At 44.7% G+C, this 16,329-nt stretch overlaps 1 protein-coding gene across 43 annotated transcripts in view; it reads right to left on the bottom strand.

Moving 5' to 3' along the window:
- Positions 1-16,329, bottom strand: part of SIRT5 (sirtuin 5) — a 40,885-nt gene that overhangs the window by 18,881 nt on the left and 5,675 nt on the right. For 34 of the 43 annotated variants that reach the window (NR_164856.1, NM_001376798.1, NM_001376799.1 and 31 more), the window contains 4 exons: positions 12,053-12,202; positions 7,814-7,947; positions 4,384-4,609; positions 714-801 (listed from right to left, as the gene is read on the bottom strand). Coding sequence is in view for 39 of the 43 variants with exons in the window: in NM_001376798.1 (NP_001363727.1) it covers positions 714-801; positions 4,384-4,609; positions 7,814-7,947; positions 12,053-12,167 (563 nt within the window). In the remaining 4 variants the exon portion in view is untranslated. Of the gene's footprint in view, positions 1-713; positions 802-4,383; positions 4,610-7,813; positions 7,948-11,150; positions 11,292-12,052; positions 12,203-16,329 lie in introns of all 43 variants that reach the window. The other 9 variants (NR_164854.1, NR_164852.1, NM_001376814.1 and 6 more) reach the window with 6 other exon arrangements.

The raw sequence follows: 16,329 nt of genomic DNA, 5'->3' as shown, positions 1-16,329 counted from the left end.
TTTCCTCATTGTAATAATAGTACATGTTCATAATAGAAATATAGGAAAATTCAGAAAGATATAAAGAAGAAATTAAAAATTACCCATAATCCCTCCACTCCTGATATTCCTTATTAACATTTTGTTGTATTTTCTTCTGGTCTTTTAACTATATACAGATACACGAACTCATTGTGTGTACAAATTTAGGACCCTGTGGTTTTCACTTAACACTGTAAGTTGTGAGCAAAATATTTCTTTTATCACATGGCTATATTTAGTTTTTTTGTTTGTTTGTTTGTTTTTTGAGACAGGGTCTCCCTCTGTCACCCAGGCTGTAGTGCAGTGGCATGATCTCAGCTCACTGCAGCCTTGACTTCCCAGGCTCAAATAACCCTCCCACCTCAGCCTCCCTAGTAGCTGGGACTACAGGCATGTGCCACCACACCCAGCTAATTTTTGTGGTTTTTTGTTTTGTTTTGTTTTTTTGTAGGACAGGTTTCTCACTGTGTTGCCCAGGCTGGTCTTGAACTCCTGAACTCAAGCAGTCTCCCCACCTTGTAACCCCAAAGTGCTGGGATTACAGGCATGAGCCACTGCACCCAGCCTTGTATTTAGTCTTATTTCTCATAAATATCCATGGGAATCTTTGATGAATGTTCAATTTCCTCACATTTATGTTCAACCTAAAGGAGAAAACAACCTATACTTATTCTGTAGTGTGGTATAATTACCCTTTTCCTGATAAAGCTGGACAAATTGGACTCTTGTAATTCTCAGCCACAACTCCACAAGAGGTACATCGAGTTTTAAATAAGCTACCTGAAAAATACATATGAAGCAAATCCAGAATTTAGTATAATCAAGAGCAACCTTCTCCATGTCTAAAAGGGTATAAGATACTTTATTTTTCACACTTCATTTCATGTTTTGGTCTCACCCAGTTACCCAGGCTGGAGTGTAGCAGTACGATCATAGCTCACTGCAGCTTCCAACTCATGGGCTCAAGCGATCCTCCCACCTTTGCCTCCTGAGCAGCTGGGACTATAGGTGTGCACCGCCACACTGAGCCATACTTCATTTTAGCAAATGGGCCTACCCTAGCTTTAGCTTTCATGGGAAACAGAGGCATGCAGTACTCTTAAGCCAGTCAAGAGCATATGCCCTCAAGGACTTTATAATCTGGAGGAAAAATAAATAACTCCATGACTAATGTGCCATCAGATGACCTTGGAGTGGTGTTCAAGTGGGCAGAAGTTGCCAATAGGGTAGAGGGAGCTCAACCTAAATCTAAGGGCGTGATTTATTGACATGACTGACAAAGGTTCAATGGCGTGGGATATGTTTACAAAATTTTAACTTCGATTTCAGAAAGCTTGAATCTTTTATACAAAAGCACCTCAATAAATAAGTAATCAACTAATAAGTGAAAAAAGTAATTGTTAATACTAACCACCACTTATTGAGCTGAAGCAATCATGGTGGCCACAGTTTATGAAATGGGTACCAGGCAACTGGTGCCGTGCAGAGCACTTTCAACCCTAGTGGACATGCGCTGCTCCGTCCTGCCCACCAGTCCTTCCTTGGGGAGCACCATCCCTGCTCTCTCGCATGCTGAGCCAATAGGGCTGTGGGTCACATCCCAAATACAAGCTCAGCCACATGCTGCGCACGGCCCCCATGTGGTGTCCATCCCTCTGCAGTCGTGTTTGGTCAGAAGGGTGGGCGTGTGGACCAAGCAAGCCTACCCAGAGGTTTATTTTCTGAGCAGGTGGCTGAGCTGGAGCCGTCGGAGGCACTCTCCCTTGGCGCGTGGAGACAGATCAATTGCAGAGAGAGAAGGGAGGCCACCTCAAAGAGTGAGCAAAGCTGAAAGAAGGAGGGGGACAGGGGCCGGGAGGAAAGATGACATAAGCTGCACCACTAGGCTCCTCAGTTTTGTGAGCCAATAAACCTACTTTGTCAGTTTTAGCATAGACATTTTTCCCCATTTTCACATCTCTGAAATTCAGATGTGTCCTACAATTGCTACTGGCCAGATGAGACTGTAACATCATCATCATGCTTGCACAGACTTGTTGAAGGAGAACACTGAAAAATGGGGTGACTTTGTTGTTATTCTCCGTGGCCTGACCGGGCAGATTCAGCCCCTGGATCCTTCCGCCAACAAACCCTTCAAGGGCCACTTCAGGAAGGAAAGCAAGTTTTGGCTGTTGTCTACAGCCTTTCCACTGATGCCTTTTGGTAAGAACATGTCAGGCCCAATAGCGAACTTGCGGAAGGTGTGTCAGGAGCTTGGATGAGAATCCCAGCTATAACAGAGGGGCATTCTCTCAGGAAACGCTGCATCATCCATCTCCCGAGACACAGAGCATGAAACTGCATGGAAAACACAGACATCCGTGCTCTGAGTCACTCAGAATCATTTAGAAGAGCTAGATAATGAGAAATATTTGGACCAGTTTATCATACTCATACTTTATGTATGCCTGGAAAGATATAATTTCTAAAGAACGTGTCTAAGTTTTAACAAGCTCTTTCTCTAAGTATAGAATAATTCTAAGGGATAATAAAATAGTATATCATGGTTTAGGCAGATTATATTCTAAATGCCACATTAAAAACATGATGCATCTTAAAAAAAACCCTTCATCAGACTGAAGATGCCATTGATTTTTTTTAACCTAAGTTAGAAGAGAGTTCTCATCGTTTGAAATTTTAAAAAGTCCTGACTAACACACATATATGATCTTATTTAATCCCGACAACAATTCTATAAGATAGGCATTGTCATCTCGGTTTTATGCTGATGACATAGCCCACATTCTGACACTGCAGGGAAATCAGCAGAGGCACATGGAAAGTGGCTCAGACCCAGCAGATGTAGGTACCAAAAAGATGCTCGGTTAATAGGTGGCTGGCTGTTCCTGATGAACAAAAGACAGACACAGTCGAAATGAGTAGTGCCTCGCTTTCCTTATCAGGGTGATCTAAGTAAAAGCAGGCAGCTTCACCACACACACGCAAAAACAAACACCCCCGACTGGTGCACTGCTTCTGGAAATGCTACACTTAGAAATGCATTTTTGGCTGGCACAGTGGCTCAAGCCTGTAATCCCAAAACTTTAGGAGGCTGAGGAGGGAGGACTGCTTGAGGCCAAGAGTTTGAGACCAGCCTGGACAACATGGTGAGACACTCTCCACAAAAATTTTAAAAAGTAGCTGGGCATGGTGGCATGTGCCTGTAGTCCCAGCTACTCTGGAGGCTGAGGTGGGAGGATCCCTTGAGGCCAGGAGTTCAAGGCTGCAATGAGCTATGATCAGGCTACTGCACCCCAGCCTGGGCAAGAGTGAAACCCCCATTGCTAAAAAAAAAAAAAAAATTAAATTAAATTAAATTAAGAGAAATAAATGCTTAAAAAATAAGAAATGCATTCCTTGGATTTGAATGCAGACTCTTTAAATGCAAATGGCCTTGGGGGAAACCCTAGTTTGCCCATTATGACTGTGGACAAGTGGATGTTTTAGATTTGTGGTGACAGCAAAGAAGGGAGGAGCCAGAAGACAAGAGTGAAGGGGTGAGGGGTTACCCAGGACAGAGGAAGGAGCCCAGAGGGACCCAAGACAAACTCCACCGACATCATAGGCTTGGTGGGTTTGGTGCAGTGTCCAGCACTGAGCTGGCAGCTCCCTGAGGCTCCAGGGCAGGGCAGAAGCACAGCCTCAGTGGGGTCCACCGACATCACAGGCTTGGTGGGCTTGGTGCAGTGTCCAGCACTGAGCTGGCAGCTCTCTGAGGCTCCAGGGCGGGGCAGAAGCACAGCCTCAGTGGGGAGTGCCCACCAGGATGAAGGGGGAGTGACAGGAGACCCCAAGATGCTGCAGTCTGCTCCTGCTCAAGCCCCAGCTGTCCAATGGGCCAGGCCTCTTATTCCTCAGCTCATTGAGGCCATTGTCTCACAGTACCGTGCCCCTCCACAGAGGAAAGGGTCACGCAGCTGTGCACCCCAGCGTTCCTCCAGTATAAAAAGCACGCCAGCCACCTGGGCTCATGGGAAAATGCAGATTCTGATTCAGTGGGGCCTATGGGGCCTGAGATTCTGCATTTTTAACAAGTTCTTGGGGGACGCCAAATGTTGCTGGCTCTTAGACCACCCTGAGCAGCGAGGATGGAGGAACTGCTAAGTGAATAATGTTAGTGGGTCAGGGGCTCCTCCCATGGCCAAAGGCAGCTGCCCAGGTGCCACGGGACACTAACATGTCCCCAAAGGAAATGCCACAGCATCCTATAGGACAGGACGGATGTCCAGCAGGGAGGGAGGGAAGGCACCAGAGGTGATGCTGAAACAGCAGGACAGGTGTTTTAAAGCTGGTTCCCTGAATGGGAGGCTGGGGGTCTCTCACCATGGATCTCCAGAAGGTTCTTGGTGCCAGCCTTGCGGTGCAGCTCATCGATGTTCTGGGTGATGACCACGACTCGCCGGCCCTGCTTGCCCAGCCGGGTCTCACACTCGGCTATGGCGCGGTGCCCGGCGTTGGGCTCCTTGCTCCCCATGACCTCCCGCCGGTAGTGGTAGAACTCCCACACCCGGGACGGGTTGTGGGCAAAGGCCAGGGGAGTCGCCAGGTCCTGGGAGTGGGAGAGGAGGCAGGAGTGAGGGAGGCAGAGACAGCCAGGATGCTGAACCCTGGGGCACAGGCCCTTCCTCCCTAAGGCAGAGACAGGCAGCGTCGGGAAGGTGCAGGCTGGAGATGGCAGCACTATGTTCAAACAACATGGCAGATGCCAGGCAGGGTCTGGGTACCAGCCTACGTCCCCATCCTGGGACTGCCCAGGGACCTTGGAGAAATCAGTCAATTTCCTTAGTGACAAAACAGGGATGATGCAACCTGTCCCATCTACCTCCCAAGTAAGTAGTGAAGATGAAGTAAAGGAACATGCAGGAAGGTATTTTGGGTCGAATCCCCTTTTTCATGCAGCTCTAAAACACACGAAGTGGATCTCATTTTGACCTACACCCAGGGAAAGCATGAAATGCAAAATGCCCATTGAGCTCTAATGACCATGGGTGAGAAACTCAGTTTTTGTAACTATAGCTATGGCTATACACACACACACAAGTACACATCTACATACACGCACATCTACACACAACTAAACACACACAACTCAATATACATACACACTACACATATCTACACACACACAACTGCACACACATACACACAACTAGACACACACACAACTACATATACTACACACACTAAAGATACACACACAACTACACACATCTACATCCACACAACTATACACACAACTAAACATACAACTACACACACAAACTAAACACACACAACTACACACATCTACATATAAACTGCACACACATAGCTAAACACACATATGCTGCTACACAAACTACACACGTCTACATACACACACAACTGCACACATGCACTACACACAGCTAAACACACACACAACTACACACACACACAACTACATACACACAACTAAACATATACACACATCTACATACACACAACTGTACATACACACAACTACATACACAACTACACCCACAACTAAACATACACACATATCTACATACACAACTACACACATCTACATACACACAACTGCACACACACAACTAAACATACACAATTACACAACATACATACACACAACATACACATAACTACACATATCTGTTAATACACACACAACTAAACATACACACAATTACATCTACATACACACACCTACACACAAAACCACACACACCTACACGCACAGAACTACACACATCTACATATATACACAGCTACACACATACATGCAACTACACACACAACTAAACACACACAGCTACACATAAAAAGTGTATATTTTATATATAAACAGAATAGATAAAATACATACACTTTAAATATGGTTCTGGGAGAAACAAACCTCCTTTCTGGTAAAGGAGCCGAGTAGGGGTTGTCTGGGGCTGGGAGCTGGCAGGGAAAGGCACAGGGAACTTTCAGGGATGACTGAAACATTCTGTTTCTTGATAGTGGAGGTGGGGGTGTTACGCAGTTGCATGCACCTGTTAAAACTCATCAAACTGTACACACAATGCACATGGGTGCATTTTATTCTAAGGAAATTCTGCCTCAATAACATTAATTTTAAAAAGAAATATGGCTTCTTTATCAAGGAGACACTTCCTACATTGAACACATGTGCATTTCATTCTACCGTAAAGGCCCCTCTGCTTAGTGGTAATGCCAGCCTTTGCCACGTGAGAGGTTGACCCACACCGACCCTGCTCTTCACCTAGAACACATGGCCTGGAGTAGTTTATAGGTGGCACAGGAATATGTCCACAGGCGTCCCTGGAAGGGTGTTGGAGTCAAATACATTCTACTGACTTCTTTGCTTTGTCTGCAAACTCTGAGCCTTTTCGGACGCAACTAAGCGCCCCTCCTCCGAGCTCCTCCCGCACCCTCTGACCTCCCACCCTCTGCTGCTGCTAATCCAGGGAATGCCCAGTGGCCCCTCTTTCTTGCTGGCCCCTAATGTTCTCTGCTCTCCTTTCTCCCCACTTCACCTTTAAGGTAATGACCCCCACCCTTCACCCAGATGGCAGCAGGCAGGAGGCAAAACACCGAAACATCTGCCAGGCTCAGATGTTCAGAAGAAGGAAGGGGCAGCTTCATGAACTCTGCATTCAATGAGAAATGAGCTACTAACCATGGAAGACATGTATTGCAGTATTTATTTATGACTGCTTTCGTTCAGCCAACGAAAATCCATTAAGCACCTATAATGTGCCAGAGTTCTGGAAACTGGAGACAATGCAACGAATAAAACAAACAGAGGCCGGGCGCGGTGGCTCATGCCTGTAATCCCAGCACTTTGGGAGGCCAAGATGGGTGGATCACCTGAGGTCAGGAGTTTGAGACCAGCCTGGCCAACATGGTGAAACCCTGTCTCTACTGAAAAATACAAAAATTAGCCGGGTGTGGCGGTGCATGCCTGTAATCCCAGCTACTCGGGAGGCTGAGGCAGGAGAATCTGGGAGGCAGAGGTTGCAGTGAGCCGAGATCACGCCATTGTACTCCAGCCTGGGCAACAAGAGCAAACCTCCATCTCAAACAATCAAACAATTCCTTGTCTTCCAAAGCTAGGGATTTCCTGAGCCAGTGGGATGGGAGAGCACGGACTGCAAAGGGCCATGAAGGAATGTTCTGGAGGGACAGAATTGTTCCATATTGTGATTATGGTGCTGGCTATACAACTATGTCCATTTGTTAAAACTCATTAAATTGTACACTTAAAACTGGTGACTTTTACTTTATGTATATTAGATCTCAATAAAAATTGAATTAAAAAAATCCGCACCTTCACAGAACTTACATTCTGAAGGGCTTCCTATAAATTTTTGAATATCAAATCCTAACCCTTCAATAACTGACATTAGTTTTAACATGAAAAGTTCACAGAAACTTTATGTGTCATACTTGAGTTCAATAATTTTAGAATAAAGTAATGAATGATGCTAACCAAGGTCTTCTGATTTCACTTTAACACAATTATTAGGAGAAACTGTTACCTGAATAAATGCAATCCACACCTATCTAGGAAGGAACGTGGCAGCCTTGCTTAAATTTTGATCTTAATCATAGAAACTTTGTGTTTATGCCAAAATCAATGAGACAATAGGGTCACAGTTCACTTAAAAACCATTTCCCTGGGGTTTCGGGGATCGGTATAGGATTTGAGTCAAACTCTGTTATGGTTTCATTCGACAGAGGCTTTTAATGTTCTGGAAACTTTACAAACCTGGGCTTGCCATTTTCTCCAATAACCTCCAGCTCCTCTGAAGGTCGGAACACCACTTTCTGCACTAACACCAGCTCCTGAGATGATGACTATGTGCTTTGCTTTTGCAAAAAACTTTCGAAAATCTGCCATACCTAAACAGAGTGAAATCTTTATCAATCCAGTGTACAGTTTGGACATTTGTATCCCATATCAATTGTCTGTATCTTGAAACTTGACCTAGTGTGAAGTTATACTTTAAGATAAACAAACATCATTCCTGTACCATGAAAACACCATCCCCATGTGACCTGCTGGGTGAGTGTACAATATTTTAAAGCAGCAGGGGCTTTGGGCACACACAGCCGGCTCTGCACCGCAGCTCTGCCTCCCACACAAATGTGTGATCTTACATAAGTTACGTACCTTTCTCCATCCTCACTGTCCTTGGCTCTTTGAGGTGCACAGTAGTGCCTTCCCTAGAGCAGGCATGTTACGAAGATTAAAAAAAGCCTAGTGGGAAGGAATCCATCTTCCTTCATAAAAGTAAAAACAAGCCTGTATGTTTGTGTGAGTGCTGAGTTGAGGCCCACTGGACCCCAAAGCCTACCCTTCCTCCCCCAGTTCACCTTCCCTTTGGGGATCTTGCTAATTTCAGCTTCCCTCAGCACAGCGACTGAAGGTGAGGGCAAGGGTCTTATTTGAGGACACATGGCCTTCTTCTTGACAAGTCAAATGAGAGCCAAACTTTTCAACAGGACACTGCCAGAGACTTGGGGTAGCAAAGGGAACTGAAGACAGAGAATAACACGAGAGGAAGTAATTGTGGACACAGACCATGGCTTGCCCTCCCGTCCTGCAACTCCAGGCAGTTCTCCTGCCTGAACACAGACCCACAGGGACAGCAGCTATGGTGGTGAGGGCTCCCTGCACCCCAAGTGCTATGCCAAGCACTTTACGTGGATCACAAGGTGGGATTTTTTCCCCTGAAACAAATGTCCTCATCCTAGGACAAGAAGCAGGAGCCAGACTTGGAACTCATGATGGGGGAAGCTGCCACTGTTTCTCTTGGGCAGCAGAAACTGGGAAAGGGAGGTCAGCTGGGGACACAGCTTGTTTCTGCTTCTCTCCTAGGCACCGCAGCTCTGCAGGCCCTTGTAAGGTAAGCGCTGTGGCCCTGGAAAGCCAGAATTAAGGGGTACAACACTGAACATACGCTGCCAGGAGGAGAACAGAGAGCCCCTTTTCTGCCCTCCCCCTGGAGAAGCGAGTGCTGTACCTCACTGCCTGCTGCAGGCCTAAGATACTGAAGCCGGGAATGCCCCACCCTGGATATGGAGATCTTCCAAGGATGGCCACCCTGTGTTAAAGCACTAAGAATTCCAGCAAATGTGGAGCTGAATTCCTCAGCTGACTAAGCAGGCTCCCTGGCCTTCCTCTCTTGAGGAAATGGCAACCAAGGCTAACCCTTGGACTGAATGAATGAGGGGAGGCTAACCCTCCCCTGACAGATGGAACCAGGGACAGGCAGGAAGCAGGCAAGGAAGAAACATAGTGGGATGGGGGCTCAGAGATGGTGAGCTTAAATATTAAAGGGAACGTGGCCTCATTCTGTATCCCAGCCATAAGGGGCATCCTACTGGTTTCTCATGTATGGTTGACTCCCTCTAAGCAGGGATGGAACTTACTCATCCTCATAAGCCCAGAGCCACACACTATGCCCAGCCTAGGATAGAGACTGTCAATAAGGGCTCAACCCCTCCTCCCCTTCCCTTCCTCTCTTCCCTACCATGGACTCCTGGTAAAAATGAATTCAGAAGAAGAATAGGCTTTTTCCTCTCTGGCTCCATTCATGTTTTGGCAGCACAAGGCTGAGAGAAATTAAGACAGTCACGGTGGAACAGAACAGAGGCCTCAGAAATAACACCACACATCTACAACCATCTGATCTTTGACAAACCTGACAAAAACAAGGGGGAAAAGATTCCCTATTTAATAAATGGGGCTGGGAAAACTGCCTAGCCATATGTAGAAAGCTGAAACTGGATCCCTTCCTTACACCTTAGACAAAAATTAACTCAAGATGGATTAAAGACTTAAATGTAAGACCTAAAACCATAAAAACCCTAGAAGAAAACCTAGGAAATACCATTCAGGACATAGGCATGGGCAAGGACTTCATGACTAAAACACCAAAAGCAATGGCAACAAAAGCCAAAATAGACAAATGGGATCTAATTAAATTAAAGAGCTTCTGCACAGCAAAAGAAACTATCATCGGAGTAAACAGGCAACCTACAGAATGAGAGAATATTTTTGAAATCTACCCATCTGACAAAGGGCTAATATCCAGAATCTACAAATAACTTAAACAAATTTACAAGAAAAACACACACAACCCCATCAAAAAGTGGGCAAAGGACATGAACAGACACTTCTCAAAAGAAGACATTTATGCAGCCAACAGACACATGAAAAAATGCTCATCATCACTGGCCATCAGAGAAATGCAAATCAAAACCACAGTGAGATACCATCTCACACCAGTTAGAATGGCGATCATTAAAAAGTCAGGAAACAACAGGTGCTGGACAGGATGTGGAGAAATAGGAACACTTTTACACTGTTGGTGGGAGTGTAAATTAGTTCAACCATTGTGGAAGAGAGTGTGGCAATTCCCCAAGGATCTAGAACTAGAAATACCATTTCACCCAGCCATCCCATTACCGGGTATATACCCAAAGGATTATAAATCATGCTACTATAAAGACACATGCATACGTATGTTTATTGCGGCACTATTCACAGTAGCAAAGACTTGGAACCAACCTAAATGTCCATCAGTGATAGACTGGACTAAGAAAATGTGGCAAATATACACCATGGAATACTATGCAGACATAAAAAAGGATGAGTTCATGTCCTTTGCAGGGACATGGATGATGCTGGAAACCATCATTCTCAGAAAACTATCGCAAGGACAGAAAACCAAACACCACACGTTCTCACTCATAAGTGGGAGTTGAACAATGAGAACACATGGGTACAGGGCGGGTAACATCACACACTGGGGCCTGTCGGGGGGTGGTGGGCTTGGGGAGGGATAGCATCAGGAGAAATACCTAATGTAAATGATGAGTTGATGGGTGCAGCAAACCAACATGGCACATGTATACCTATGTAACAAACCTGCACGTTGTGCACATGTACCCTAGAACTTAAATTATAATAAAAAATAAATAAATAAATAATTTAAAAAATAAAAAAGTAAAAGAAATAACAAAAGACGGTCACAACACGCCATTCTCGTCAGGTTGCAACCAACCCAACTACCCCACCAATCACACTAAAGCTCTACCTGAACTCACATCCCTTCCAGAGATAGGCTGCTTGTTTTTGTCAGGTTTGTCAAAGATCAGATGGTTGTAGATGTGTAGTGTTATTTCTGAGGCCTCTGTTCTGTTCCACCGTGACCGTCTTAATTTCTCTCAGCCTTGTGCTGCCAAAACATGAATGGAGCCAGAGAGGAAAAAGCCTACTCTTCTTCTGAGTTCACTATAGACTAAGGGCCCAGACAGGTTAATTTGTAGGTTTTTGCCAGGTAGAGCTGCAAAGTATTTCTGTCCAGGAGAAAATTTAACCTCATACTGCCCTATAGGACAATCACCAGTTTTCCTCCCCTGCAGAGAGATAAGGATTTTATAGTACAAAACATGTGTAAAAAGCTTAAATGCAAATATTCTGGCAGAAGCAACAAAATGTCCTAGATGGACTTGAGTATTAAGGAGATAGGCTCTGAAGGTGCCCTAGAAGGGATTACCTAAAAGAGAAGAGGACAGGTGGGCGCGGTGGCTCATGCCTGTAATCCCAGCACTTTGGGAGGCTGAGGCAGGCAAATTACGAGATCAAGAGATCGAGACCATCCTGGCCAACATGGCGAAACCCCATCTCTATTAAAAATACAAAAATTAGCTGGTTGTGGTGGCATGTGCCTGCAGTCCCAGCTCCTCGGGAGGCTGAGGCAAGAGAACTGCTTGAACCCAGGAGGCGGAGGTTGCGGTGAGCCGAGGTCGCACCACCGCACTCCAGCCTGGCGACAGAGCAAGACTCCGTCTCAAAAAAAAAAAGAGAAGATGACAGAGTGGCTTTCTCCAAAACCTTGCCCAATACCTAATTTGACAGAGACATTCCTCTCGAAGTGTAGGACTTTCAGGTACTTCACATTTGGCTGCAGGTGAGGCAATGGGTAAAATGACTTACTTGAACTTGGCCGAGCCATTTTCAGGCAAATCTGGTTTCGTGTGGACGCTGGAGGCTTCAGGCCACAATATAGCTGGGAAATCAATCGACTTGGGACAATCTGGAGAGGTCGCATCAGGGTTTGTCTGTAGTTCTAATGCTTGAGGCGGGCTTTAGAAAAATCACAAAAACAAATAGTGTAGAAACAATCAGCAAATATTTTTATATATGGAAATATGTATAAATATTTATATTTTATATATTACAGAAACGCATCATGTATATTATATTATACCCACACGCACACATACACGAATGTCCTTTAAAAAATCTTTAGTAACAGATCATCCTCTGAACTGGCTGTTTTCCGTTTGTGTTCTCAAGTGCTCCTAGAGGTGCAGAGGTGCCTTGGAGCAGTGCTTCTCAAAGCGTGTTCCCTAGACCAGCAGCGTCGCCATCACCTGAAATCTTGTTAGAAATGCAGCCTCTGGTTCCACCTCAGAGCTGCTGAATCAGAAACTCTGGGGGTGGACCCCATCATCTATTTCCAGGTGATTCTAGTAACTACTCAAGTTTGAGGACCACTAAAATGCACAAGAAAGGGTTAAATATGAGAATTCATTTGAAAACTTGCTGCTTTTCAAAAGGTATGAAGCCAGGTGCAGTGGCTCACGCCTATAATCCCACCACTTTGGGAGGCCGAGATGGGTGGATCACCTGAGGTCAGGAGTTTGAGACCAGCCTGACCAACATGGTGAAACCCTGTCTCTACTAAATACAAAAAATTAGCTGGGAGTGGTGGTGCATGCCTGTAATCCCAGCTACTCAGGAAACTGAGGCAGGAGAACTACTTGAACCCCGGAGGCAGAGGTTGCAGTGAGCCGAGATTGTACCATTGCACTCCAGCGTGGGCAACAAGAGGAAAACTCCATCTCAAAAAAAAAAAAAAAAAAAAAAGAACAAAGAAGAAAAAAAAGAAGGTATGAAAACCACCACTAGTCTCTCAACTTGCGGTCAAAGTACAGTTTCTTTCTTTTATTTCAGACAGGGTCTCACTCTGTCACCCAGGCTGGAGTGCAGTGGCGTGATCACGGCCCACTACAGCCTTGACTTCCTGGGCTCCAGCGATCCTCCCACCCCATCCTCCCCAGTAGCTGGGACTACAGGCACGCGCCACCATGCCCGGCTAATTTTTGTATTTTTGGTAGAGACAGGGTTTCACCATGTTGGCCAGGCTGGTCTTGATCTCCTGAGCTCAAGCCATCCACCCACCTAGGCCTCCCGAAGTGCTGGGATTACAAGCATGAGCCACCATGCCCAGCCCAAAGTAGTTTCTGTGAGAATGTAATTTCTAACTGAGAACTAAATTCTGAAGGAAAGAAGTGTACTGTGACAATAGTATTAAGATAACATCGTGTCACAGAAACTCGTGGATCTTAAGGCACATTCAGTAAATCTTTGTCTATACCTGAGGAATTTTATAAAAAGAAAACAAACACAGAGAAAGACAACATTTGGAACAATGACACTGATTGTCCAACAAAACTGTGGGGGCAGAAAATATAACGGTGGTTGCCAGAAAGGGGAGGAGTGATTAAAAAGGGGCATGCGGGAATTTTTTTTTTTTTTTTTTTTGGTGGGAGGCAATGGTATTGTTATATATCTCGATTGTGGTAGTAGTTACATGACTGTATCTGTCAAAACTCATAAAACTCAATACTAACAAAGGGTTAATTTTATTAGACACATATTTTACTTAAAAATAATGAGTATAGAGCTTCAGTTTTACAAGATGAAATGAGTTCAGGGGATTAGCTACACAACAATGCGAATAGACTGAACTGTACCCTTAATAATGGTTAGAATGCTAAATTTTGTTACATGTGTTTTACCACAATTGTATTTTGTAAGAGAAAGGCAAGGGGATAAAAGAATATACCTTAACTTTCTTGCATTTGCTATAAAAACAAAAAAAGAATTCACAAGAAATTAGTAAAAAGAATTGAGTATAGGGTGGGAAACGCTATGTAAGGAGATTAGAGCTGAGCAAGGATTTTCCATATGTGTTTATATATTGTTTGGATTATCAATGCCTTCCAGTCCAAGGAACACACTTGTACTCGAGCAAGTTGCGAGAGATAGAACACGCCATGAAGAACTGCAGCATCTGTTAGGAACCTGGAATGGACTGATTAGAGGATTTGTGCTTGTGTTAGATCATGTTGGGGAGAGGTTCATGGAAGTGGGGCTTTGTTCTGGATTTGATGCTGTTAATGGATCTTATCTAAAAGGTGGAAGGAATGAAGAGAGGCTAGAGCTGTGAGTGGCCAAGCAGGAGTCCCTCATGTTAGCGGCATGGGAGGATGTTTGGTCATCTTTGTGGCTTCAACAATGTTCCTGTTTCGGTCCCAGTTCAGACGTGATTACTGAGTGGCCTTGTTCTTGTCCTGACCCATTGTGGTCACAGAGTGGCCCTGTCTGATATCGGTGCTCTGTGACGTGGTTTATGTTCAATAGAACACCAAGGCCTATCAGATAGTGCCAGGCTCAAGACTAGAAGCAAACCAAATGTCCATCAATTTATAAATGGGTAAACAAATTGTGGTTTATCCATACCATGAAGACTCTTCAGCAATAAGAACAAACTACTAATACCTTCAACAGCATGAATGAATCTTTAAAAGTGTTATCCAATAATAACTCTATAGTAGAAAAGCTGGCAGCTACCACCTTAACCAAGTGATCAAAGTTAACATCACCAGTAATAAGACATGGCGACTCCACCTACCTCCTCATATGATGCAATGAGAAGGGCAAAGCATCACTTGTGTGGCATTCATGACTGCAATTTAGTTATGAGAAAATGCCAAACTCAAGCTGAGGGGCGTTCTACACACTCTACAGCAAAACTGGCCAATACTCTTCAGAAAAGTATCAAAGTTTTGAAAGATAAGAACTGGAGAAACTGTCCCAGGTCCTAATGAGACATGACAAGTAAATGCTACGTGGGATCCTGGGCTGGATTCAAGACCTGAAAAGGGACATTAGTAGGACAAATGGCAAAATTTGAATGAAGCCTGTAAATTAGTTACTAGTACTGTATATGTAAATGTCTAGGTGTAGTACTTGTCCTGGTTTAGATCATTGCACTCTAGTTAGGTAAGATGTGAACATTAGAGGAAATTGGGTAAATGGTATAATGAGAACTCTGTGTACTATTTTTGCAACATTTCTGTAAGCCTAAAATTATTTCAAAATAAAATTGCTTCACAACAAGAAAAAAAAGGGCCAGCCATGGTGGCACACACCTGTAATCCCAGGACTTTGGGAGGCTGAGGCAGGAGGATCACTTGAGCCCAGGAGTTCGAGACCAGCCTGGGCAACAAAGTGAGACCCCATCTCTACAAAAAAGTAGCTGGGCATGGCAGTGCATGCCTATGGTCCCAGCTACTCAGGAGGCTGAGGTAGGAGGATCACTTGAGCCCAGAAGGTTGAGGCTGCAGTGAGTCATGATTGTGCCACTGGACTCCCTGCCTGGGTGAGTGAGACCCTGTCAAAGAAAGGAGAGAAGGCCAGAGCAGGAGCGAGAGTGAGGGAGAAAGAGAGAAAGAGAAAAAGAGAGGAAGAAACAGAGGGAGGGAGAGGGAAAGAGAGACAGAGAAGCATTATGCTAAGTGAAAGAAGCCAGATACAAAAGGCTACATAGTTTTTGAGACCATTTATAAGACATTTTAAAAAGGCAAAACTGTTGGTACAGAAATCACACCAGTGGTTTCCAGGGACAGGGGTCGGGGGAGTAAGGGGGAGCAGAGAAATTTTTAGAGCAACGTAAAATTACATTATCTTTATTTTTGTGATTTTTTTCAACACTCATAGAACTGTATAATAAAAAGCGTGAATTTTACAGTGCGTAAGGAGTAATATGATAAACCTCACCTACAAATAAGCAAGCAAGTCAACACGTTTTCAATGTATCCTGTCTCTTCTGCAATCAAAAAGACTGTAGAAGAAGATTGACACTCAAAAAGAGAAGAGGTTAGAGAAACATGGTGTAGTGTCTCCAGAACAACCTCAGGGGACAAGGCTGTCTGGCTGCCTAAAGTTACTTCTGCAGGGAAGGCAGGCAGACTGGCTGCTAGAGGGAAGTGAACAGACTCATGGGCCCCAGCAGCCACTCTGGTGAGCAGCTCCCAGACTCAGTGACAATGGTGACATCCAACCAACATGAATATCACTCCAGTGCTTGATTTAAAGAAAGCTTGAGGAAAATGGATTGCCATGATCTTCAACTAGCATGG

Source organism: Homo sapiens, chromosome 6, assembly GCF_000001405.40.
Source record: "Homo sapiens chromosome 6, GRCh38.p14 Primary Assembly".
NCBI lineage: Eukaryota > Metazoa > Chordata > Mammalia > Primates > Hominidae > Homo > Homo sapiens.
This window is presented reverse-complemented; position numbering and strand designations above follow the sequence as displayed.